This window comes from Homo sapiens, chromosome 17 (genome assembly GCF_000001405.40).
Source record: "Homo sapiens chromosome 17, GRCh38.p14 Primary Assembly".
In the NCBI taxonomy this organism is placed as follows: Eukaryota; Metazoa; Chordata; class Mammalia; order Primates; family Hominidae; genus Homo; species Homo sapiens.
The window spans coordinates 40,004,289-40,028,027 of record NC_000017.11 but is presented as its reverse complement, the minus strand read 5'-3'; the positions used below and the strand labels follow the sequence as shown (position 1 = coordinate 40,028,027).

The 23,739-nt window shown below is 54.3% G+C and overlaps 2 protein-coding genes, 1 long non-coding RNA gene and 2 other non-coding genes across 16 annotated transcripts in view, besides 3 other annotated features; 4 read left to right on the top strand and 1 right to left on the bottom strand.

Moving 5' to 3' along the window:
- Positions 1 to 8,924, top strand: part of MED24 (mediator complex subunit 24) — a 35,305-nt gene extending 26,381 nt beyond the window's left edge. For all 5 annotated transcript variants that reach the window (NR_052017.2, NM_001267797.2, NM_014815.4 and 2 more), the window contains 12 exons: positions 82 to 119; positions 563 to 645; positions 994 to 1,172; positions 1,282 to 1,381; positions 1,697 to 1,872; positions 4,633 to 4,897; positions 5,202 to 5,383; positions 5,544 to 5,634; positions 5,974 to 6,073; positions 7,675 to 7,755; positions 8,095 to 8,243; positions 8,383 to 8,924. Coding sequence is in view for 4 of the 5 variants with exons in the window: in NM_001267797.2 (NP_001254726.1) it covers positions 82 to 119; positions 563 to 645; positions 994 to 1,172; positions 1,282 to 1,381; positions 1,697 to 1,872; positions 4,633 to 4,897; positions 5,202 to 5,383; positions 5,544 to 5,634; positions 5,974 to 6,073; positions 7,675 to 7,755; positions 8,095 to 8,243; positions 8,383 to 8,499 (1,561 nt within the window). In the remaining variant the exon portion in view is untranslated. The remainder of the gene's footprint in view (positions 1 to 81; positions 120 to 562; positions 646 to 993; positions 1,173 to 1,281; positions 1,382 to 1,696; positions 1,873 to 4,632; positions 4,898 to 5,201; positions 5,384 to 5,543; positions 5,635 to 5,973; positions 6,074 to 7,674; positions 7,756 to 8,094; positions 8,244 to 8,382) is intronic.
- On the top strand, positions 383 to 486 carry SNORD124 (small nucleolar RNA, C/D box 124). The gene has a single exon (NR_102369.1). It is a non-coding gene; the product is annotated as a small nucleolar RNA, C/D box 124 (small nucleolar RNA).
- Positions 471 to 1,381: an enhancer, noted in NCBI's record as "H3K4me1 hESC enhancer chr17:38182900-38183810 (GRCh37/hg19 assembly coordinates)". NCBI's record gives its function as "activates a minimal SCP1, AML or CMV promoter by ChIP-STARR-seq in naive H9 embryonic stem cells {active_cell/tissue: H9 hESC(naive)}" and the evidence as "EXISTENCE:reporter gene assay evidence [ECO:0000049][PMID:30033119]".
- MIR6884 (microRNA 6884) lies at positions 1,619 to 1,696 on the top strand. The gene has a single exon (NR_106944.1). It is a non-coding gene; the product is annotated as a microRNA 6884 (primary transcript).
- A 1,290-nt stretch (positions 8,925 to 10,214) lies between the features above and the next one.
- Positions 10,215 to 12,588, bottom strand: CSF3 (colony stimulating factor 3). 8 transcript variants are annotated; one of them, NM_000759.4, is made up of 5 exons: positions 12,514 to 12,588; positions 12,174 to 12,337; positions 11,688 to 11,795; positions 11,397 to 11,543; positions 10,215 to 11,233 (listed from the first exon to the last, which is right to left on the bottom strand). In NM_000759.4, the coding sequence occupies exons 1-5, from the start codon at positions 12,551 to 12,553 to the stop codon at positions 11,069 to 11,071; spliced, it is 624 nt and encodes a 207-aa protein (NP_000750.1). In that variant the 5' UTR covers positions 12,554 to 12,588; the 3' UTR covers positions 10,215 to 11,068. The 8 variants fall into 8 exon arrangements, 4 of the variants coding, with proteins under 4 accessions (NP_000750.1, NP_757373.1, NP_757374.2 ...); NM_172219.3 differs by having other exon boundaries at positions 12,183 to 12,337; NR_168491.1 differs by having other exon boundaries at positions 12,174 to 12,588.
- Positions 12,179 to 12,678: an enhancer, noted in NCBI's record as "H3K4me1 hESC enhancer chr17:38171603-38172102 (GRCh37/hg19 assembly coordinates)". NCBI's record gives its function as "activates a minimal SCP1, AML or CMV promoter by ChIP-STARR-seq in naive H9 embryonic stem cells {active_cell/tissue: H9 hESC(naive)}" and the evidence as "EXISTENCE:reporter gene assay evidence [ECO:0000049][PMID:30033119]".
- On the top strand, positions 13,387 to 17,881 carry PSMD3-AS1 (PSMD3 antisense RNA 1). The gene is made up of 3 exons (NR_198981.1): positions 13,387 to 13,474; positions 13,669 to 13,790; positions 15,224 to 17,881. It is a non-coding gene; the product is annotated as a PSMD3 antisense RNA 1 (long non-coding RNA).
- Positions 15,783 to 16,722: an enhancer, noted in NCBI's record as "NANOG-H3K27ac-H3K4me1 hESC enhancer chr17:38167559-38168498 (GRCh37/hg19 assembly coordinates)". NCBI's record gives its function as "activates a minimal SCP1, AML or CMV promoter by ChIP-STARR-seq in naive H9 embryonic stem cells {active_cell/tissue: H9 hESC(naive)}" and the evidence as "EXISTENCE:reporter gene assay evidence [ECO:0000049][PMID:30033119]".
- Positions 17,882 to 23,739: the final 5,858 nt, after the last annotated feature.

Below are 23,739 nucleotides of genomic sequence, written 5' to 3'. Positions count from 1 at the left end.
CTCTGAACATGTGTAGCCCCAGCGCCCAGCTACTGCTCAGCTCATGCCCTGGTCAATGCAGCCTGTCTCCATTCCTTTCAGTTTGAATGAATTCACAACCTATGGCAGCGAAGAAAGCAGTAAGTCAGCCCTGTGCATCCGCAGGCCCAGTGGGCCCTGAGGAGGGGTGTGGCGGGAGAGTGTGGGAGGGAGGAGGGCTCCCCAGCTCAACAGGGGGAGGCTGTGCTCCCTCCTCAGAGCCATGACCAATGGAAGCTTCCACAGAGCTTGAAAGTGGATAATGCTGGAAAAGGATTCTTCCCAGACCATCCCTGTGTCTCCTTCCCCCCCTCATCCCTTTACGACTTGGTTAGGTATGCCAGGAGAGGGTGCTGGGGGTCTTTGGTCTCAAGGAAGGGATGATGTTCCAGTTGAGACTCAAGAAAAGGATTCTGAGCCTCAGAGCTTTGAAGGAGCCACTTGGTCCCTGACCTTCCTAGAGGCAAATCCCGATCCCTGTCAACCCAGACACGGGCTCCCCCCTGCCCTCGTCTGGGAGCTCAGCCTTCCCGTCCTTCCACAGCCAAACCGGCCTCCGTCCGGGCCCTGCTGTTTGACATCTCCTTCCTCATGCTGTGCCATGTGGCCCAGACCTATGGTTCAGAGGTGAGAGAGGGGAGCGACCGGGACGGGGGCTCAAGGGAAGGAGGTAACCCGGAACTCTCCCCACCTCACTGCCTGCGCCCCCGCAGCCTCTCAGCCAGTTAGTTCTGTGGGCCTCAGAAACCAGGTGCCCACCCGGGCTGGAGTCCGTAGAGGCACCTTCAGCCCTATGTTCACATTGACCACTAGGTGGCAGCATTGCCCCCGTCTGGCTCCCTTAGACCAGTTCGTCCCCAGTCTTTGGGCTGGGCTGGAGCAGCAGCCTGGCGGGAAACAGTGCAGCCCCAGGTCCAGCGCTGGCAGGCGCCGCGCCCTCCCCACTCGGCTGGTGCCCCCCTTCCCCTTTCCCAGGTGATTCTGTCCGAGTCGCGCACAGGAGCTGAGGTGCCCTTCTTCGAGACCTGGATGCAGACCTGCATGCCTGAGGAGGGCAAGATCCTGAACCCTGACCACCCCTGCTTCCGCCCCGACTCCACCAAAGTGGAGTCCCTGGTGGCCCTGCTCAACAACTCCTCGGAGATGAAGCTAGTGTCAGTGGCCCGGGCGCCCACTCCAAGGGTGGCGGTGGGGGCAGGGTCAAGACCCGCTCCCTGAGCCCGTTCCTTGCTCCCCTGTGCTGACTTCTCTGCACACCCGCAGGCAGATGAAGTGGCATGAGGCCTGTCTCAGCATCTCAGCCGCCATCTTGGAAATCCTCAATGCCTGGGAGAATGGGGTCCTGGCCTTCGAGTCCATCCAGGTAGCCCCGCCTTCCCAGCAGCGTTTGCTCCCCTGAGACACAGAGCCAGCCAGTGATGACTTGTTATATTTCGTAAGGGCAAGAAGACCTTTAATCCAGGAGCTCATGTTTTGATATTGATATTTTGTGTAATCGTTGTCTTAGCTACTCCCTCTGGCCCAGGTAGCTCTGGGAAGATCAAACTTGTGGAGAGAGGTGTGGAATGTGGCCCGGGACTCCACCCGCTGCACTTAGCTGCCCGCAGAGGCTGAGAAGGTGATGTTGGCTCAAGAAAGGGAGATAGATGGTAGCCCATCACCTTTCCGTCTCCCCTAGAAAATCACTGATAACATCAAAGGGAAGGTATGCAGTCTGGCGGTGTGTGCTGTGGCTTGGCTTGTGGCCCACGTCCGGATGCTGGGGCTGGATGAGCGTGAGAAGTCGCTGCAGATGATCCGCCAGCTGGCAGGGCCACTGTTTAGTGAGAACACCCTGCAGTTCTACAATGAGAGGTCGGTAACCTGCCTTCCCTTCTCAGACCCTTCAAGTGTGTTGTGAGAAGTCAGCACATCCAATAACAAGCACCCCTCTCTTTTCTGACCTTCGCAAACACGCTACTTGATCACTCACTCACTTTCCTATTCATGCATTCACTCATCTGACTCAGCAAACATGTACTGTGTCTCTGTGGCAGAAGCGTTTATATGCCAGCACCTGCTGTGTTGTCAGAAATGCAGACCCTAAACAGGGTCTGCCCGCAGAGACTCAAGTTCTAGACAACTAGCTCCCAAAAGAACAAAGCTGTGTGACTGTCTAGGAGCTAGGAACCTGTCTGTAGATTTTACAGGCCATGCCCCACCCTCAGTTACCTCTTAGGACAGTTTCCTGCCCTGGCTCTTCAGGGGCTTGGAGGACTTCCCTGGTGACCAGTTACGTTGAGTTCATTCACCCAACCAATAAGTTGTTTGCTTTTTTTAATTGTAAAAAACACATAAGATTTGCCATCTTAGCCATGTTTAAGTGTACTGTTCAGTAGTGTTAAGTATATTCACACTGTTGTGTAACAGGTCTCCAGAACTTTCTTGCATCTCTGAAACTCCATACCCACTGAACAACAGCTTCCTATTTTCCCCTCCCTCCAGCTCCTGGTAACTACCATTTTACTTTGTGTGTCTAGGAATTTGACTACTTTATACTTTTTGTTGTTGTTGTTGTTGAGACAAGGTCTTACCCTTGCCCAGATCAGAGTGAGTCTCACTGCAACCTCAAATTCCTGGGCTCAAGTGATCCTCTCGCCTCAGCCTCCCGAGTAGCTGGGACTGCAGGCCCACAGCCGGCTAATTTTTCTAGTCTTTGTAGAGACAGGGTCTCACTATATTGCCAGGTCTTGAACTCCTGGCCTTGAGTGATCCTCTCACCGTGGTCTCCCAAAGTGCTGGGATTACAGGCGTGACCCACCGTGCCCTGCTGAATTTGACTACTTTTTAGATGCCTCATTTAACTGGAATCATACAGTCCTTGCCTTTTCGTGACTCACTGACTTCACTCAGCATGGTGTCCTCAAAGCTCATCCATGTAGTAGCACGTGACAGGAATTCCTTCCTTTTTAAGGCTGAATAATACTCTGTTGTGGGCCGGGCGTGGTGGCTCACGCCTGCAATCCTAGCACTTTGGGAGGCTGAGGTGAGTGGCTCACTTGAGGTCAGGAGTTTAAGGCCAGCCTGACCAACATGGTGAAACCTTGGCCTTACTAAAAATATAAAAATGAGCAGGGAGTGGTGGCAGGCGCCTGCAATCCCAGCTACTTGGGAGGCTGAGACAGGAGAATTGCTTGAACCCAGGAAGCGGAGGTTGCAGTGAGCCGAGATCACGCCACTGCACTCCAGCCTGGGTGAAAGAGTGAGACTCTGTCTCAAAAAACAAAACAAAAACAAAAGAAACCTCTATTGTGTGGCTATACCACATCTTGATCCCTCCTCTGTCAGTGGACACTTCAGTTGCTTCCACCTTTGGGCTATAGTGAATAGTGCTGCTGTGAACATGGGTGTTTACCAGCTAATACGTTTTGGGTGTTGCCATGTCTTTATGGCAACGTTGAGGATGTCTTTATTTATTTATTTATGTACTTATTTTTGAGACGGCGTTTCGCTCTGTCACCCAGGCTGGAGTGCTGTGGCACTATCTAGGCTCACTGCAATCTCCGCCTCCTGGGTTCAAGAGATTCTCCTGCCTCAGCCTCCCGAGTAGCCGGGATTACAGGCATGTGCCACCACACCCGGCTAATTTTTGTATTTTTGGTAGAGATGGGGTTTCACCATGTTGGCCAGGCTGGTCTCGAACTCCTGATTTCAGGTGATCTTCCCGCCTCAGCCTCCTGAAGTGCTGGGATTATAGGCATGAGCCACCGCACCGGGCCTGAGGATGTCTTAATAGGGAGAAGGGGAAGCATTGAGCTGAATGAGGTTTGGACGGTCTGGAAAAGCACATCTCGTTTTCCCCTTGCCTCCTCCTTTTTTCCTTTCTTCTCTCATTTCTCCACCACCTTCCCCCCCGCCCTACCAAGTAGGGAGCTTTTGCTCTGGTGTAACCCATTCTAAGCACCCTAAATCCTATCTGGGTAAGGGGTAGTGAGAAGTCTGTGGCTCCATTGTGCAGGTGGGAAAAGTGGCTCTAAAGGTCATAGCAACTTTCCCAGAGCCACCCTGCATTCCAGGAACAGTCAGCACTCGGCCCGGGTCTGTATTCACTTCCGAAGCCTCTTTCCATGAGAAAATTCCTGGATATACACTTCTATCTGCCCAGCTACCAGGGGCCGGGAAGAGTCCTGTGGGGCAGCCCTTGGGCCTCTCCTGGAAGGAACAGTTTACTTTGGGAGGAGGCCAGGGCTGGGCGGGGACCCCCAAGCACTCAGCCTAGGGGGAAGTGATTGTGTTTATTTATGTGGCAGGTTGGCAGGGCCCAGGCCTGGGGGATGGGGGAAGTTGGAGAATAAAAGAAAATGTGAATATCTGGCTGGAATGGCCAGGGGGAGGAAAGTCCCTCCCCAGTCCCTATTTATAGGCTTTGTGTCCTGCAGGTGAGAGACCTGCCAGGAGCAGAGCAGGGGCCAGGTCACCCCGGGGTATACCGTCCCCCAGCGCAAAACTGGGTTAATGCCTCAGGGAGATTTCCGTAACCTAAGTCCAAGGGAAAGTCTGGCATGGGTGTTCCCTCCTCTCCCTCCCCACCCTACAGTGGCACCTGAGCCTCAGGTTCTCTCGGCCCTCCCCCAGGGTGGTGATCATGAACTCGATCCTGGAGCGCATGTGTGCCGACGTGCTGCAGCAGACAGCCACGCAGATCAAGTTTCCCTCCACCGGGGTGGACACAATGCCCTACTGGAACCTGCTGCCCCCCAAGCGGCCCATCAAAGAGGTGCTGACGGACATTTTTGCCAAGGTGCTGGAGAAGGGCTGGGTGGACAGCCGCTCCATCCACATCTTTGACACCCTGCTGCACATGGGCGGCGTCTACTGGTTCTGCAACAACCTGATTAAGGTACTTGGGCTGGAGTGGCTGTGGGCCGACATGGGTCCTGTCCCCTGGCTCCCCACACCTGGCCTGGTCTGCCAGGCTTCCCTGAGAGGCTGCCGTGAGCCAGGTGGCCTCCCCGGAATGCCTCGCCTCAGAGTTGCCTCCTTGGGGAGCTCTGGCCAGAGACTGGGATTCAGCCTGAGGGGCGGAGCAACATCTGGGGCCCCCTCTGCGGGCCTTACTGGACAGCCATGCTGGGGTGGCAGGGTGTAGGAGCCCCAGATCCCGGGCCCCTGGCTCCTGAACTGCCCCCTTTCCTGCGCACTAGGAGCTGCTGAAGGAGACGCGGAAGGAGCACACGCTGCGGGCAGTGGAGCTGCTCTACTCCATCTTCTGCCTGGACATGCAGCAAGTGACCCTGGTCCTGCTGGGCCACATCCTACCTGGCCTGCTCACTGACTCCTCCAAGTGGCACAGCCTCATGGACCCCCCGGGCACTGCTCTTGCCAAGTAAGATTCTCTTCAGAGCTTGCCCTGCTCCGGCCACCCAGGGTCAAGCACCCCTCGCCTGGTGCCACCCTGGGAGACTGGGCTTTGGGGAGCCCAGTCAGACACAGAAAGCTCCTGGGGCACCTCTCACTGTCCCCCTTTTTCTGGAACCCTTTGCCAGGCTGGCCGTGTGGTGTGCCCTCAGTTCCTACTCCTCCCACAAGGGACAGGCGTCCACCCGCCAGAAGAAGAGACACCGCGAAGACATTGAGGTAGGCCCCCCAGCTGCCCTCGCCGGCTTCACTTGTTCACCGGTTTGTTACAGCATTTCCTAAGGATTCCCCAGGCAAAGGGAAGCAGTTGTGGCCCCTGCCCTTGGGGCAGCTGTGCCTGGGCATGATTGGTCAGGAATCTGCATGGGTGATTTGTGTGGCCCCAGCTTGCCCATGGGCACAAGGGGCCTGTCAGATTGTGGGAGGGGTTGAGCAGAGAGGGGCTGAGGCCCTGCTAGCCATGCTGACCTCGCTCAAATCGGAGCTCAAGCTCTTTTCCCTGACAGCTGGAAACTGGGGGGTTTAGGGGTGTATAACAGTGACTTTCACTCCCTCTAGGATTATATCAGCCTCTTCCCCCTGGACGATGTGCAGCCTTCGAAGTTGATGCGACTGCTGAGCTCTAATGAGGACGATGCCAACATCCTTTCGAGCCCCAGTGAGTGTGTGGGCTGGCCGCGCGCCGCTCCTTTTCCTGGGAATTCACTCCCCGATGCTGCCACTCTGCCGCTGCCCCAGCTGCAGGCATCTTTGCAGCTGGTCAGAGAGGGTGTGGCAGGGACCTGCTGTTCTAGCCCCCAAGGGGGTGCTCTGTGTCCTGCCCCTGGAGAAGAGGTTGCTGTTCTCACTCCCTGAGGGTTGAAGCTCCTCTGCCCAGGTCCAGCCCAGCCCACAGTTGTTCCCCCACAGCCCTCCTGCCCCTCCCTTACCCCAGGGTTGAGGGGATGACAAGCTACCCAAGTGAGTGAGTTCACTGCCTCAGGCACAGCCTGTGCCATTGACTCACCAGCTCTGACCTTCCTTCCTTCCTTCCCCCAAAACATGCCCGGAGAGGCCCGGGCTGGGGCATGGGGCTACTCCCCACCTTCCTGCCTAAAGAGCACACCCCCCACCAACCACTTCCCTGGAGGTCATCCTTTTCACTGTCCCCTCCTCCCTGCCAGGCTTACTGCCAAGGGTTCCTTCTGTGGCATTTTTCCTGTTTCCAGAGATTTCTCCTGAGCCTGAACTTTTCTCTGAAGCCTTTTAGGAACTAGGGGACCAACTATACACTTGATCAGAAGAAAGATGCTAGGTTTGCCAGCTACAAGTGCTGTGACCTTTAGCTAGCGACTGAGCCAGCCCCCGTCTGGGTCTCCTCATCTGTAAATGGGGTGTTGTGAGGAGTAAGCAGCTTAGGAAGTACCAAGATCGGCCCCTGGCCCTGTGTGCTCACCACATGTTAGTTTTTCTCTCTCATTCCATTGGGATCTCTGTATCTGAGGTCCCTCTGTGCCCTTTTTTTGTTTTGTTTTTTGTTTGTTTGTTTGTTTGTTTGTTTGAGTTGGAGTCTCCCTCTGTTGCCCAGGCTGGAGTGCAGTCGCACGATCTCAGCTTACTGCAACCTCCGCCTCCTGGGTTTAAGCAATTTTCCTGTCTCAGCCTCCTGAGTCTCTGGGACTACAGGCGCCTGCCACAACGCCTGGCTAATTTTTGTATTTTTAGTAGAGACGGGGTTTCACCATATTGGTCAGGCTGGTCTCGAACTCCTGAACTCAGATGATCCACCCGCCTTGGCCTCCCAAAGTGCTGGGATTACAGGCGTGAGCCACCACGCCCAGCCTGTTTTTCTGAGACACGGTTTTGCTCTGTTGCTCAGGCTGGAGTGCAGTGGCACCATCTCGGCTCACTGCAGCCTTGTTCTCCTAGGCTCAAGCAGTCTGCCTCAGCCTCCCGAGGAGCTGGGACTACAGGCGTTGGCACCACACCCAGCTAATTTTTGTATTTTTTGTAGAGATGAGGTCTCGCTAGTTGCCAAGGCTGGTCTCAAACTCCTGGACTCAAGCGATCCTCCTGCCTCGGCCTCCCAAAATGCTGGGATTACAGGTGTGAGCCACTGTACCTGGCCTCCCTTTGTGCTCTTGATCTCAGGGTCTTCTCTGGGCTCTCCATGTACCAGTTACCTCCGATGGGTGAAGGTCGGGTTGGGGCATCCCCGGGGAGCACCACTTTTGCACTCGGCAGGCTGTTTCCCAGCGCTCCATCTGCTCCGTCCCACAGCAGACCGATCCATGAGCAGCTCCCTCTCAGCCTCTCAGCTCCACACGGTCAACATGCGGGACCCTCTGAACCGAGTCCTGGGTGAGTTCCCCACCCCTGCTGCCGAACCTGGGGCTAAGCTGGACGAGTCTCTCTTCTCATGGAGGCTGGGAGACCTTGTCAGCTGGAAGGGGCCTTGCGGTGCCCCTCCCTTCCCTCTCCATGCCCCTCATTGTTGGCTGTCCTGGCCCCCAGGCTCCTGTCTAGTTCCCCCTCCTCCCCTCCCCAATTGCCTTTTATATTTTCTCTCTCTGACACCCCATTTTGGGGACATGCTCAGCATGTGTTTCTTTTCCCTTTTCAGTCCCACCTTCTCCCAGAGTGTGACCTCACCCACTCTCATGGAACTCCCTCCTGTCACTCTCCCCCCACTCTCTACAGCCAACCTGTTCCTGCTCATCTCCTCCATCCTGGGGTCTCGCACCGCTGGCCCCCACACCCAGTTCGTGCAGTGGTTCATGGAGGAGTGTGTGGACTGCCTGGAGCAGGGTGGCCGTGGCAGCGTCCTGCAGTTCATGCCCTTCACCACCGTGAGTACCACCTTCCCGGCTCTCCTGCTGGTGCTGGGGCCTCGGGGCAGCCCTTAGAGCAGGGAGGGGCCTCCTTCCCCCTGGGACAGCACACCCACCACCAGCCGTCCCGCAAGCAGCATCTGTCTGTCCGTGGCAGGTGTCGGAACTGGTGAAGGTGTCAGCCATGTCCAGCCCCAAGGTGGTTCTGGCCATCACGGACCTCAGCCTGCCCCTGGGCCGCCAGGTGGCTGCTAAAGCCATTGCTGCACTCTGAGGGGCTTGGCATGGCCGCAGTGGGGGCTGGGGACTGGCGCAGCCCCAGGCGCCTCCAAGGGAAGCAGTGAGGAAAGATGAGGCATCGTGCCTCACATCCGCTCCACATGGTGCAAGAGCCTCTAGCGGCTTCCAGTTCCCCGCTCCTGACTCCTGACCTCCAGGATGTCTCCCGGTTTCTTCTTTCAAAATTTCCTCTCCATCTGCTGGCACCTGAGGAGAGTGAGCAGCCTGGACCACAAGCCCAGTGGTCACCCCTGTGTGCGCCCGCCCCAGCCCAGGAGTAGTCTTACCTCTGAGGAACTTTCTAGATGCAAAGTGTGTATGTGTGTGTGTGTGTGTGTGTGTGTGTGTTTGTGTGTATTTTGTAATATGTGAGGGAAATCTACCTTCGTTCATGTATAAATAAAGCTCCTCGTGGCTCCCTTTGTGACTGTGTGTGCTGTTGGTATTGGTGCCACCCGGGGCAGGGCATAGTGTCCTCTCCCTGGACTCCTGTGCTGTGGCCAGGGAACGGCTCACTCCTGTGGTGAGGAGGAGGAGGAAGAGGAGCAGAGGCGGCAGGGCTCAGGGTCCTATGTGGGCTTGCTCAGCTGGGGAAGGGCCAGGGGAAAGCAGCTTCCCTTCCTTGGAGCCAAGTTGGCTGGCCTGCTGCCCCCTCCCCCAAAGCCAGCTGTACCCTGAAAGGGGAGAGGCTTTGGCTCAGGGCCCCACAGTGCTGGGGCAGGGTGGCCTGCTCTGCTGTCTCCCGAACCTGGTCCAACACCACCCACACTCTGACTAGCCTGGGATTTGATCTGTTGCCTCCAAAAAAGGACTGGGGGATGGGAGGCGGGGGGATGAGGGGCCGGACCTTTCTTTAACCCTTCCTTGCCTGCCTCACACATCTCTGAGCCCCTAGATGGATGACTCCGAGCTGGCAGTGGGAACTTCTGACCCTGCTTTCCGAGGAGCCACGGGCAGGGGAGGTGGGAGGGACTGAGGAGCTGAGGAGGAGAAGGTTTGGGCAGATAGTGGACTGGGGACTGGTGGGGGTACCCCAAAGCCACACAGGAGTCTTTGGCTGCAGGCAGGCCTCACACCTGTGGTGCGGTCGCTGCCCCCCCTGCTTGCCACAGCTCCCCACCCTCCTGGGCTGTGAGCTTAGCGCTCTTCAGCCCAAGGCTGCCACAAGCAGGAAGTGACCAGCTGGGGCGAGTGCAGAGACCGAGTCTGAGGAGAGAAGCTCTGACCCCAGTGGTCACCTTGAACTTGGCTTCCACTTTGTGGGCAACTTGATGGATGGGCTCAAGTTTATGGAAGATGGTAAATGACAAGCCTGGTGCAGATGCTCAGCACTCCCTGGCTTCATCTTGTCTGGCTGTGTCTGGCCTGTTAAGCCCACCCAGACCCCATGCCCTCTCCTTTCCGGGTTCCCATGGTCCCTGTGCCTCTGTCTTCCCTGCCAGGCTTTGGCTGCTCGAGTGCAGATTCCATGTCTGCCTTGTTCCCTGCTGTGTCCCCAGCACTTAGCCCAGCGTCTGCACAGAGTAGGTGCTCAGATAAATATGTGCTAACGGAATGAATGTCAGACGAACTTGAGAACTTTCCTCCTCCTCCCTGGACCTCCTCCCCAGACCTCCTCCCCGACCTCCCTCTGGCCTCTCCCACCCTTCAGCCACCTCCCCAGCCCCTGGCCAGGCACCAGCTGGACTCAAGAAGGAGGAAGGACGTGACTGGAGGCAAACACTTTATTATCCTGAAGTTCAGTTACAATGTGACAGTGGAGGGGACACTGGTGAGTGGGGGGTGAAGAGGTGGAGGGTGACAGTGGAGCTTCCTTTCACACACAGGCCTGACATGATTCCTCCTGTCTGCTCCCTCCCACATCCCCAGTCCCCGTCCAGCAAGGCAAATGTCCAGGCACCTGCCTGGCCCTAAAAAGAGTCACAGTCCTGACCCTCGTGGGGGCAGGGCAGGTGTCCCGAGGCCACCCAGAAAAACAGGAGACGCGTCGGTGATGTTCGGGAGTCAAACCATGTCCCAAAAGTCTTAAGAAGAAAAACGAGATTCCCCAGCAAATTCGTGGGACCCCAGGGCCATGCCTCCCAGCTCTGGCCACCTCTGCTTGTCCAGGGGCCTCACAGCCAAGGGGATGCAGGGGCCGCTGTGCAGTCGGCTGAGGCCAGAGTGAGGGGTGCAAGGACCCAGATGGGGAACACTGCTGTTTAAATATTAAACAGGGATTTCTTGTCTCCCACGTGGGAGACCTGATACTCTCAAGGGTCCCAGGTGGGGACCCTCAGGACCAGGGGCTCACAGCGGCTCATCCCAGTGCCCATTGCAGAGCCAGGGCTGGGGAGCAGTCATAGTAATAAATACTTGGTATTTACCTATCTACCTCCCAGTCCAGGGGATGGGAGGACAGGAGCTTTTTCTCACTGCTACAGGCAGGAGAATGAAACTCAGAAATGCAGGGAAGGACACAGAGGCCTGGGGCTCCGTTCTGCTCTTCCCTGTCTTTAAATATGAGGCTTAAATAGACATAAATATTAAATAGAGATAAATACATGGGATGGGGAGGGCTTGGCTCAGGGCTGGGCAAGGTGGCGTAGAACGCGGTACGACACCTCCAGGAAGCTCTGCAGATGGGAGGCAACCAGGACCCCTCCTGCCCGGCGCTGGAAAGCAGAGGCGAAGGCCGGCATGGCACCCTGGGTGGGCTGCAGGGCAGGGGCCATTCCCAGTTCTTCCATCTGTGGGGGAAAGCTGTGATCAGTGGTTGGGCCCTTCTGAGTGGGCGTTATTACAAATGAGGAAATGCTGGGGGTGACAGCATGGACAGGGCCCATACACAGGCCTGGCTGTGGTGCCCAGAATGCCAGCACGACCTTGGCCACCCTGCCCAACAAGGCTCACCTGCTGCCAGATGGTGGTGGCAAAGTCGGCGACGTCCAGCTGCAGTGTGTCCAAGGTGGGACCCAACTCGGGGGAGATCCCTTCCAGGGCCTGCAGGAGCCCCTGGTAGAGGAAAAGGCCGCTATGGAGTTGGCTCAAGCAGCCTGCCTGTGAGACAGAGCGGAAGAGTTAGGGGGTGCTGCCTGAGATACGTCAGGCCCCCAGCTTGGAACCTGGAGACATGGGGGAGCCCATGGGTGTTCCTCCTCTCCTTCCCCCTCCTCATTAGCCTTATCCTTTCCTGACACTCACCAGCTGCAGGGCCTGGCTGGGGCAGCTGCTCAGGGGAGCCCAGGGGATGCCCAGAGAGTGTCCGAGCAGCACCAGCTCCTCGGGGTGGCACAGCTTGTAGGTGGCACACTGGGGATGGAAGGATGCTGAGTGAGACTCGCCATGGCCGGGTCGCCGCTCCTTCCCGGGTCCTCCCCGACTCTCTGGTCTTTCCCCTCCCTCCATGTCCTGCCAGGCTGTTCAGTTCCTCTCTGCCCTGCACCCCCACTCTCTGATCTCACAGGGGCCCTTGCCCTTTCTCCTGAATGTAATGCCTCCACTCCCATCCCAGCCAGCCCTCCCGAGCACTGTCCCCACCAAGGTCCTCCTCCCCAAGTCCCTTCCCAGCCTTCCCCAGCTCCACTGCTCCTAATATTCTCCCACGTCCCTTCCAGAGGATGTTGGCCCTGCAGTTCCATCCCCCTTAGCTCTCCCCACCGGGCTTCCCTCCACAGCCCTCTCACCCACCTCACTCACCAGCTTCTCCTGGAGCGCTGCGCCATCGCCCTGGATCTTCCTCACTTGCTCTAAGCACTTGAGCAGGAAGCTCTGGGGCAGGGAGCTGGCAGGGCCCAGGGGGGTGGCTTCCTGCACTGTCCAGAGTGCACTGTGCCACAGCAGCAGCTGCAGGGCTGGGGACAGAGCGGGCTCAGGAGACATGCTGTTCCCTACCACCTGAGGCCCTCTCGGGGACACTGGGTGCCTTTAATCCCCATTCCCAGAACGGGGATCCCCAGCCCCTCTGTCACACCAGCCTCCCTCCCATGCCAGGGCAGGCGGCTCTCCCATCCTGGGCCAAGACACTCACCCATCAGCTTCATGGGGCTCTGGGTGGCAGGTCCAGCCATGGGTCTGGGTGGGGCTGGGCTGCAGGCTCCGGGCTGTTTTGGGGCCCAGCTCTAGGGGGGCCTTTATACATAACCCCATGGAGGCCTGGGAGGAAATTACCTGGGGCCACGACTAAGGCTTAGTAATAACTTCCCAGGATTTATGCAAATTTGGTGTCCAAGACAATGCAGGGGGGTTGGAACAAAAAGCTGTTTGCGAAAGTTTTGTGAAATTGTGGAATCTCTGATCCTCCTTTGACGTCGCCTTGCCCCCCTCAAACTCCCTTCCTCCCGCTGCCCCACCCAGGCCTGAATGGCCCCAGAGTGTTTGAACAGAACAGCTGAACAAAGGCTGAGCCGCTGATAGACGCCTGGAAGCGGCAGCAGCCTGTGGGGAAGTGGCAGCTGAGTCGGGGTCTCCCTCTCTGCTCTGGCAGACTTGCGGGGGCAGTGTCCTTTGCCCCTCTCCTTTGGGATTCTCAAGCCTGTCCCCCAAGCCCCCAAATTCTAAGAGAGAAAAAAAGAAGCTGGTTGCTCCCATTCCTACCCCCAAACTCTCCGGAGGCTGCCTGTCTGGGAGACCTCCTGAGCCCCTACCTGAGATAAGGACATTGGGTCTTGGCTGCTGTGCCCACCCCACACTTGGATAGGCACCATCGAAAGTTCCAGGCTGTCCTGTCCCAAGTTGATTAGCTGGGAACTCCCCCAGAAACCCCCCCGCCCCCCATGACTCATTCGGCTAAAGCCCCTAGAATCCCGGTAGAGCCAGAGGAAACCGGATGTCTGTCCCGAATGAGGCAAGACCCTTCGAGGCGATTGGCTCACCTGACCTTCACCTCCTCGTGCACGACCCTGACAGTAGGGTCCCCAAGGGCTTTGGAACTGCGGGATTGGGACACGTGACTTCCCTGGTCATTCACCTTGAAGTGGACACGGGCTGGGGTGAGAGAGGGGAAACTGCCCCATCTTCTCATCTTAGAACCATGCAGCGTTAATGCTGGAAGGGACCTTGGAGTCGATTCCAACCCCGTGAACTGGGCCAGGGAAGGAAGTGCCTTGCCCAAGGTCATGGTAAGTGACAGAATTACAGCCTGGGCCTCTGGCTCAGACCTGAACGTTTTCTTTTTCTTTTCCAGATGGAGTCTTGCTCTGTCGCCCAGGCTGGAGTGCAGTGGCGCGATCTCGGCTCACTGCAAACTCTGCCTCTCGGGTTCACGCCATTCTCCTGCCTCAGCCTCCCGAGTAGCTGGAACTACAGGTGCCCGCCACCATGCCCGGCCAATTTTTTGTATTTTTAGTAGAGACGGGGTTTCACCGTGTTAGCCAGGATGGTCACGATCTCCTGACCTCGTGATCCACCCGCCTCGGCCTCCCAAAGTGCTGGGATTACAGGCGTGAGCCACCGTGCCCGGCCTAGGCCTGAACGTTTTCTACAGGCCACAAGGCCTGCCTGGGGCAGTCTGACTGACCACACCCAAGACTGTCACCTTCTGTCCTAATTTACCCCAGCGTGCCAAGAAACAGACATCTCTGGATGAGAAGTGGATGTGGTGACTGGATGGGGCCATCTCTGGTGCTTGGGGGCCCCCTGGTGGTCACCAATGGCAGGGACGTCTGATCTCACACACTGATCTCACACACTGTTATCTGGTCCGCGGTCCTGCAGCTCCGCCTTAGCTCTGTGGCTCAGCACCTTGCACTGATGTGGCCCAGCTCTGTACCCAGCTCCCTGGGAGTAGAGGGTGGGTTTTTGTTGTTGTTTTTTTGAGATGGAGTTTCGCTCATTGCTCAGGCTGGAGTGCAATGGCACGATCTCGGCTCACTACAACCTCCGCCTCCCTGGTTCTAGTGATTTTCCTGCCTCAGCCTCCCAAGTAGGTGGGATTACAGGCATGCACCACCATGCTCATCTAATTTTGTATTTTTAGTAGAGGTGGGATTTCACCATGTTGGTGGTCAGGCTGGTCTCGAACTCCTGACCTCAGGTGATCCACCCGCCTCGGCCTCCCAAAGTGCTGGGATTATAGGCATGAGCCACTGCACCTGGCCTTGAGGGTGGGTTTTTAACAGGACCATGGAAGGCAGGAGCTCCACATTCTTAAACATGTTGCCTGGCAACTATTGCATTGCACACCTCTTATATGTCAGGCACTTTTTTTTTTTTTTTTTAAGACAGAGTTTGGCTCTTGTTGCCCAGGCTGGAGTGGGTGGAGTGCAATGGCACGATCTCGGCTCACTGCAACCGCCGCCTCCTGGGTTCAAGTGATTCTCCTGCCTCAGCCTCCTGAGTAGCTGGGATTACAGGCATGCTCCACCACTGCCCCCACAGCCGGCTAATTTTGTATTTTTAGAAGAGATGGGCTTTCTCCATGTTGGCCAGGCTGGTCTCACACTCCTGACCTTAGGTGACCCGCCCGCCTCGGCTTCCCAAAGTGCTGGGATTACAGGCATGAGCCACTGCGCCTAGCCATATCAGGCACCTCTTATTACACTTTTGTCAATTTTTTTGCGGAGGGGAAACAGGGTCTCAGTCTGTCCCCCAGCCTAGAGGGCTGTGGTACAATCACAGCTCACTGCAGTCTTCACCTCCCAGGCTCAAGCGATCCTCCCACTTTAGCCTCCCGCGTAGCTGGGACCACAGGCACGGACCACCATGCTCCGCCAATTTTTGTAATTTTTTTTTTTTTGCAGAGAGGGCATTTCATCATGTTGCCCAGGCTGATCTCAAACTCCTGGGCTTGTGTCCGAAACTGGTGAGTGCTTGGTCTCACTGACTTCAAGAAGGAAGCCGCGGACCCTCGCAGTGAGTGTTACAGCTCTTAAGGTGGTGCATCTGGAGTTTGTTCCTTCTGATGTTCAGATGTGTTCGCAGTTTCTTCCTTCTGGTGGGTTCGTGGTCTCGCTGGCTGAGGAGTGAAGCTGCAGACCTTCGCGGTGAGTGTTATAGCTCTTAAGGCAGCGCGGCCGGAGTTGTTCATTCCTCCCGGTGGGCTCGTGGTCTTAGTGGCTTCAGGAGTGAAGCTGCAGACCTTCGTGGTGAGTGTTACAGCTCATAAAAGCAGTGTGGACCCAAAAAGCGAGCAGTAGCAAGATTTATCGCAAACAGCAAAAGAACAAAGCTGCCATATTGTGGATGGGGACCTGTGCCCGTTGCCACTGCTGGCTCGGGCAGCCTGCTTTTATTCTCTTATCTGGCCCCACCCACATCCTGCTGATTGGTAGAGCCGAGTGGTCTGTTTTGACAGGGCGCTGATTGGTGCGTTTACAATCCCTGAGCTAGACACAAAGGTTCTCCACGTCCCCACTAGATTAACTAGATACAGAGTGTCGACACAAACATTCTCCAAGGCCCCACCAGAGTAGCTGTCAAGCCTCTGAGCCCAAGCCAAGCCATCGCATCCCCTGTAACTTGCACATATACGCCCAGATGGCCTGAAGTAACTGAAGAATCACAAAAGAAGTGAATATGCCCTGCCCCAACTTAACTGATGACATTCCACCACAAAAGAGGTGTAAATGGCGGGTCCTTGCCTTAATTGATGACATTACCTTGTGAAAGTCCTTTTCCTGGCTCATCCTGGCTCAAAAAGCACCCCCACTGAGCACCTTGCGACCCCCCACTCCTGCCCGCCAGAGAACAAACCCCCTTTGACTGTAATTTTCCTTTACCTACCCAAATCCTATAAAACGGCCCCACCCTTATCTCCCTTCGCTGACTCTCTTTTCGGACTCAGCCCACCTGCACCCAGGTGATAAAAGCTTTATTGCTCACACAAAGCCTGTTTGGTGGTCTCTTCACACGGATGCCCATGAAAGTAGCCAGATACAGACTGTCGATTGGTGCATTCACATACCCTGAGCTAGACACAGGGTGCTGATTGGTGTGTTTACAAACCTTGAGCTAGATACAGAGTGCCGATTGGTGTATTTACAATCCCTGAGCTAGACATAAAGGTTCTCCAAGGCCCCATCAGAGTAGCTAGATACAGAGTGTGGATTGGTGCATTCACAGAACCTGAGCTAGACACAGGGTGCTGATTGGTGTATTTACGATCCCTGAGCTAGACATAAAGGTTCTCCAAGTCTCCACCAGACTCAGGAGCCCAGCTGGCTTCACCCAGTGGATTCCGCACCAGGGCTGCAGGGGTAGCTGCCTGCCAGTCCCGGTGCCGTGCGCCCGCACTTCTCAGCCCTTGCGTGGTCGATGGGACTGGGCGCTGTGGAGCAGGGGGTGGTGCTCGTCGGGGAGGCTCGGGCCGCACAGGAGCCCATGGAGGGGAGGCTCAGGCATGGCGGGCTGCAGGTCCCGAGCCCTGCCCCGCGGGAAGGCTGCTAAGGCCCAGTGAGAAATCGAGCGAGCACAGCGCCGGCGGGCTGGCACTGCTGGGGCACCCAGTACACCCTCCGCAGCCGCTGGCCCGGGTGCTAAGCCTCTCATTGCCCGGGGCCTGGCAGGGCTGGCCCGCTGCTCCGAGTGCGGGGCCCGCCAAGCCCACGCCCACCCGGAACTCCAGCTGGCCCGCAAGCGCCGCGCGCAGCCCCGGTTCCTGCTTGAGCCTCTCCCTCCACACCTCCCTGCAAGCTGAGGGAGCCGGCTCTGGCCTTGGCCAGCCCAGAAAGGGGCTCCCACAGTGCAGCGGTGGGCTGAAGGGCTCCTCAAGTGCCACCGAAGTGGGAGCCCAGGCAGAGGAGGCGCCGAGAGCGAACGAGGGCTGTGAGGACTGCCGGCATGCTGTCACCTCTCAGGCTCAAGCCATCCACCCGCCTTGGCCTCCCAAAGTGCTGGGATTACAGGTGTAAGGCACTTTCGTCATTTCATCCTGTCAACCAACTGGTGTGTTGTAGCCAAGGGATGGCCTCAGAGAAGTGAAAAAACTTGTTCAAGATCACAGAACTAGCTGGTGGCTGAGCCAGGTAGGATTTGCAGTTAGATCATCTTGCCAAGCCCCTGCTGTTTCTGTGACACTACTTTCCTGTCAAGAAAGCTGTACATCTTGAATAACGGCTCAATCCAGACTTCAGCCCCACATGGGGGAGAATAAAGACCAAACAGAGAGTGAGGGCTCATTATCACTGGCCATGACACATGGGGCTGAGCTGGACTGGAGGCTCAGAAGTCACAGTGATCTGACAGGGGGCAGGCTCCAGAGACCCCCGTTATTCATCCTTCCAGCATCCAGAAGGCTCTACCAGGTATTTCTTCATGGTTAGAAGGGGCTGGCAGCTTCCCCTCCCACTTCCTGTTTTCATCTGGTACTGGGCTTAGAGCATCTTTGTAAAGGATCTGGAGTAACTCTCATTTGTTGCTGGGGGGAGTGTAGATTGTAAAAAAAAAACCTCCTTGGATGGCAACTTGGTAGTGTCTAGTTAATGTGGAAATGTGTATGTCCTGTGACCAAGCAACTCTACTTCTCAGGTATGCCTCAGAGCAGGAGTACGCAGACCTGAGTATGTACACTGATGTACACTGAATTAGGAATGGCTTTTACACTTTTTTTTTTTCGTTGAGACGAAGTCTCACTCTGTCACCCAGGCTGGAGTGCAGTGGCATGATGTTGGCTCACTGCAACCTCCGCTTCCCAGGTTCAAGCGATTCTCCTGCCTCAGCCTCCCAAGTAGCTGGGATCACAGGTGTGCACCACTATGCCCAGCTAATTTTTTTATTTTTAGTAGAAATGGGGTTTTGCTATGTTGGCCAGGCTGGTCTCGAACTGTTGATCTCAAGTGATCTGCCCACCTCAGCCTCCCAAAGTGCTGGAATTACAGGCGTGAGCCATGGCGGCGCCTGGCCGGCTTTTACACTTTTAAATGGTTAGGGGAAAATTTTTAAAAAGATTATTTTATAAAATGTAAAAATCATATGAAATTCAAATCTCGATGTCTATAAAAAATTCATGTATGTATTGTTTATAGCTGCTTTTGTGCTAGAAAGACAGGGCAGAGTGATTGTGACAGAGACCATACGGCCCACAAGCCTAAAAAATTGACTATCTGGATCTTTGAGTTTGCAAACTATATACATAGTATGTATGTACCAGGAGACATAAACAGAGCTGTTTTTTTCTTTATTATTATTATTTTTTTAGAGACAGGGTCTCTCTCTGTTGCCCAGGCTGGAGTGCAGTGGCATGATCTTGGCTCACTGCAGCCTTGACTGCCCAGGTTCAAGTGATCCTCCCACCTCAGCCTCCTGAGTAGCTGAGACTAAAGGTGTGCACTACCATGCCTGGCTAATTTTTTGATTTTTTTTTTTTTTTTGAGATAGAGTCTTGCTCTGTCACCCAGGCTGGAGTGCAGTGGTGTGATCTCAGCTCACTGCAACCTCCGCCTCCTGGGTTCAAGTGATTCTCCTGCCTCAGCCTCCTGAGTAGCCGGGATTACAGGTGCCTGCCACCATGCCTGGCTAATTTTTGTATTTTTAGTAGAGATAGGGTTTCACCATGTTGGCCAGGCTAGTCTCGAACTCCTGACCTCAAGTGATCCACTTGCCTTGATGTCCCAAAGTTCAGGGATTACAGACGTGAGCCACCATGCCCGGCCATAATTTTTTGATTTTTCGTAGAGACAGTCTCCCTATGCTGCCCAGGCTGGTCTTGAACTACTGTCCTCAAGTGATCCTCCTGCCTTGGCCTCCTAAAAAGTGTTAGGATTACAGCCGTGAGCCACTGCACCTGGCCAGAGATGTTCTTTGGAACACTGTTATAGTAAACCAATGGAAATGCATTTGCAATGCCCATCAACATGGGAATAGCTAGATAGATACTGGTCCCTTCATACTATGTATGCCTCCCAACCTGTCCAGAGTGAAGACTCTGAGAGGAAAGACTCTGAGAGGAAAGCTGTCCAGAGTGAAGACTCTGAGAATTTGTATTCTCAGTGCCCAGAACAGTGCTTGGCATGGGCATCAATGTGATTAGGTCTAAAAACAATATTGAGCGAAAACAGAGCAAATTACATTCCTGTAATATACCAGTTACAAGAATTTTAAGACTCAATACTGGCCGGGCATGGTGGTTCATGCCTGTAATCCCAGCACGTAGGGAGCCTGAGATAGGAGGATTGCTTGTGAGTCCAGGAGTTTAAGATAAGCCTGGGCGACATAAGGAGGCCCCATCTCTACAAAAAAAATCAAAAAATTTGCCGGGCATGGTTGTGCAAGCCTGTAGTTCTAGCTACCTGGGAGGCTGAGGTGGGAGGATCGCTTGGGCCAGGGAGGTTGAGGCTGCAGTGAGCTGTAATCACCCCACTGCAGTCCAGCCTGGATGACAGAGTGAGACCCTGTCCTCGAAAAATAAATAAATAAATAAATAAATAAAATTGATATGGTTTGGCTCTGTCTGCCCACCCAAATCTCATGTTGAATTGTGATTCTGAGTGTTGGAGGTGGGGCCTGGTGGGAGGTAAGTGTGTTGCACCTTCCCTTTTGCCTTTTGTCTTTCTCCTGCTCCCACCATGGAAACGTGATTACTTCCCCTTCGTCTTCCACCCCTTCCTCTTATGATTATAAGTTTCCTGAGGCCTCCTGAGAAGCAAGAAGCCTGTACAGCCCGCAGAACCATGAGCCAGTGAAGCCTCTTTTCTTTATAAATTACCCTGTCTCAGGTATCTTTATAGCAGTGTGAGAACAGACTAATTCAATAATAAAATGAATAAAAGCTCAATATTATTCTTGTTTTTTTTTGAGACAGGGTCCCACTCTGTCACTTAGGCTGGAGTGCAGTGGAGCAATCTTGGCTCACTGAAACCTCTGCCCCCCAGGGCTCAAGGGATCCTTCCACCTTAGCCTCCCTAAGTAGCTGGGACTGCAGGTGCGCACCACTGTGCCTGCCTAATTTTTTTTTTTTTTGAGATGGAGTCTCTCTCTGTCGCCAGGCTGGAGTGCTATGGCAAGATCTTTGCTCACTGCAACCTCTGACTCTTGGGTTCAAGCAATTCTCCTGTCTCAGCCTCCCGAGTAGCTAGTATACAGGCAGGCACGCGCCACCAGGCACAGCTAATTTTTGTATTTTTAGTAGAGACGGGGTTTCACCATGTTGGTCAAGGATGGTCTCGATCTCCTGACCATGTGATCTGCCCACCTCGGCCTCCCAAAGAGCTGAGATTACAGGCATGACCCACTGCACCAGGCCCTTTTTTTTTGAGTAGGAGTCTCACTCTGTTGCCCAGGCTGGAATGCAGTGGCGTGATCTCGGCTCACTGCAAGCTCCGCTTTCCAGGTTCACGCCATTCTCCTGCCTCAGCTTCCTGAGTAGCTGGGACTATAGGCGCCTGCCACCACGCCCAGCTAATTTTTAATATTTTTAGTAGAGATGGGGTTTCACCATGTTAGCCAGGATGGTCTCGATCTCCTGACCTTGTGATCCACCCGCCTCGGCCTCCCAAAGTGATGGGATTACAGGCGTGAGCCACTGCTCCTGGCCTTTTTTGTGTTTTTTATAGAGAGGGGGTTTGCCATGTTGCCCAGGCTGGTCTCAAACTCCTGGGCTCGAGCAATCTTCCCGCCTCAGCCTTCCAAAGTGCTGGGATTACAGGCGTGAGCCATTGCACCTGGCAGCTCAATACTATTATGTAGTAGAAGTATAAAAACAAACTAGAAGCCTGCCAGCTGAATTCATTAAAGTGGCTGGCTTTGCCAGGGGAACAAGATGGACTTCCAGCTTAGCCATAATGTTTTATTTATTTATTTATTTTGTAGAGATGGGATCTTACTGTGTTGCCCAGGCTGGTCTCAAACTTCTAGGCTCAAGCGATCCTCCTGCATTGGCCTCTCAAAGGGCTGAGATTATAGGCATGAACCATGGTGTCCAATTTATTTCTTTTTTGATTAAAAAACTTCACAGACTAATGAAATGTTAACATGATTAAACTTGGGTGGAGAATATATGGGTACATATTTGTTATGTTATTCTTTGTACTTCTATGTAGTTTTCAAATTAAAAAACAAAACAAAACTGGAAGGTAGCCGGGCAGGGTGGCTCATGTTTGTAATCCCAGCACTTTGGGAGGCCAAGGCGGGCGGATCACTTGAGGTCAGGAGTTCGAGACCAACCTGGCCCACATGGTGAAACCCCATCTCTACTAAAATACAAAAATCAGCTGGGTGTGGTGGTGTATGCCTGTAATCCCAGCTACTGGAAAGGCTGAGGCAGGAGGATCGCTTGAACCCTGGCAGCAGAGGTTGCGGTGAGCCGAAATCGCAACACTGCACTCCAGCCTGGGTGACAGAGTGAGATTCCGTCCCAAAACAAACAAACAAACAAACAAAGCTGGAAGGTAAAATAATACAGTGAACTTTCTAAGCATGAAAGTGACACTTGGCTGGGCGCGGTGGCTCATGCCTGTAATCCCAGTACTTTGTGAGACCGAGGCAGGTGGATCACCTGAGGTCAGAAGTTCAAGACCAGCCTGGCCAACATGGCGAAACGCCATCTCTTCTAAAAATACAAAAAAATTAGCCAGGCATGGTGGCGTGTGCCTGTAATCCCAGCTACTTGGGAAGCTGAGGCAGGATAATTGCTTGAACCTGGGAGGCGGAGGTTGTAGTGAGCCAAGATTGTGCCACTGCACTCCAGCCTGAGCGACAGAATGAGACTCTGTCTTTAAAAAAAAAAAAAAAAGTGACACTGAGTTTCTTCAGGAAATTAGAAGCCACGCCAACAAGGTTCATCCAGACAGTGGATGAAGAAGCCTCTAGACAGTGAGCAGACGGAAAAATGGCCCATAGACCTTATGTGGGCAAGAACCAGGGAATCATGGCGAATGACCTCAGCTCTCTGGAAGAGGGTGATAAACTCTCTCCGGTCACTTACAACCAAGGCTGAAGATTTATAACCTCTTGTGAGGCTGGGCTCCTCAGGAAGAATGCTCATTACAGCTACAAACATTGAACAGGCTGGAAAGGGCTTCAGGCAGCTGTGCCTGCCATATGTATGTCTTCGGATCACACACTCAAGAAAAGTTGGCTTTTGAAGTCATGGAAAGCTGTCAAGGGCCAGAAGGACTGCTACATGGAGACCCAAAGACAAATGAAGACTGACTGGATAACAGAACCCCAGAGTGATGGTTAATATTGAGTGTCAACTTGATTGGATTGAAGGATACAAAGTATTGATCCTGGGTGTGTCTGTGAGGGTGTTGCCAAAGGAGATTAATATTTGAGTCAGAGGACTGGGAAAGGTAGACCTCAATTGGGGTGAGCACAATCTAATCAGCTGCCAGAGCAGGCAGAATAAAAAGCAGGCAGAAGAGCATGGAAAGACCAGACTGGCTGAGTCTTCTGGCCTCCATCTTTCTCCCGTGCTGGATGCTTCCTGCCCTTGAACGCTGGACTCTAAGTTCTTCAGCTTTGGGACGTTTGGACCTTTGACCACAGACTGAAGGCTGCACTGTTACCTTCCCTACTTTTGAGGTTTTGGGATGCGGACTGGCTTCCTTGCTCCTCAGCTTGCAGACGGCCTGTTGCGTGAGTCAATACTCCTTAAACTCCCCTTTATATATACAACTATTGTATTAGTTCTGTCCCTCTAGAGGACCCTGACTAATACATCCAAGCTGAGGCCGGAAGAAGGCAGCACAGCCTGAGAGAAGGCGCATTGAACTTGGTATCAGGTCAGCCTGGGTTCAACTGCAGGACTCATTTAACCCACCTGAACCTGTCCTCACATCCTAAAAGGACACGGAGGAGGTGCTTAACCGTAGTCCTCCCACCACACCCTTCCTGGAAGGGAATCAAAGATCTATGAGAAGGTTTTGGGATTGGTTTGCAAAATCAAAGGTTAAAATGGGGCAAGGATTGGAGCCCTAAAAATAGATGAAGAATCCGGACGCTAGGATCAAAACATCTGCCACAGAGATTGAAGGGCGGGTTTGGGAAACACAGGAGAAGTGTTGTTTTGCAAAGTCAACTTTAGGAGTTTCATTTTACCGAAAGGCAGCTGAAGATTAAAGGAAGGTAGTGATGCCAAATATTGTGACCAGGGCTGGAGTATGATCAGGAGCCAGAGCAAGGCCAGGCCAAAACCTGTATTTAATGGAAATTATGAATACAGGCAGACCTCGGAGATATTGCAGGTTCGGTTCCAGACCACCACGATAAAGGGTGTCACAGAGGTGCTGGTTTCCCACTGCATAGAAAAGTTATGTTTACACAATATGGTCCGGGCACGGTGGCTCATGCCTGTAATCCCAGCACTTAGGGAGGCCGAGGC

Coding starts and splice junctions, on each gene's coding strand:
- CSF3 (NM_000759.4), bottom strand. CDS start 12,553: ATGGCTGGACCTGCCACCCAGAGCCCCATGAAGCTGATGG. Junction 12,338..12,513: donor GAGCCCCATGAAGCTGATGG/GTGAGTGTCTTG, acceptor CTCTGTCCCCAG/CCCTGCAGCTGCTGCTGTGG. Junction 11,234..11,396: donor CCACCACCATCTGGCAGCAG/GTGAGCCTTGTT, acceptor TTTCCCCCACAG/ATGGAAGAACTGGGAATGGC.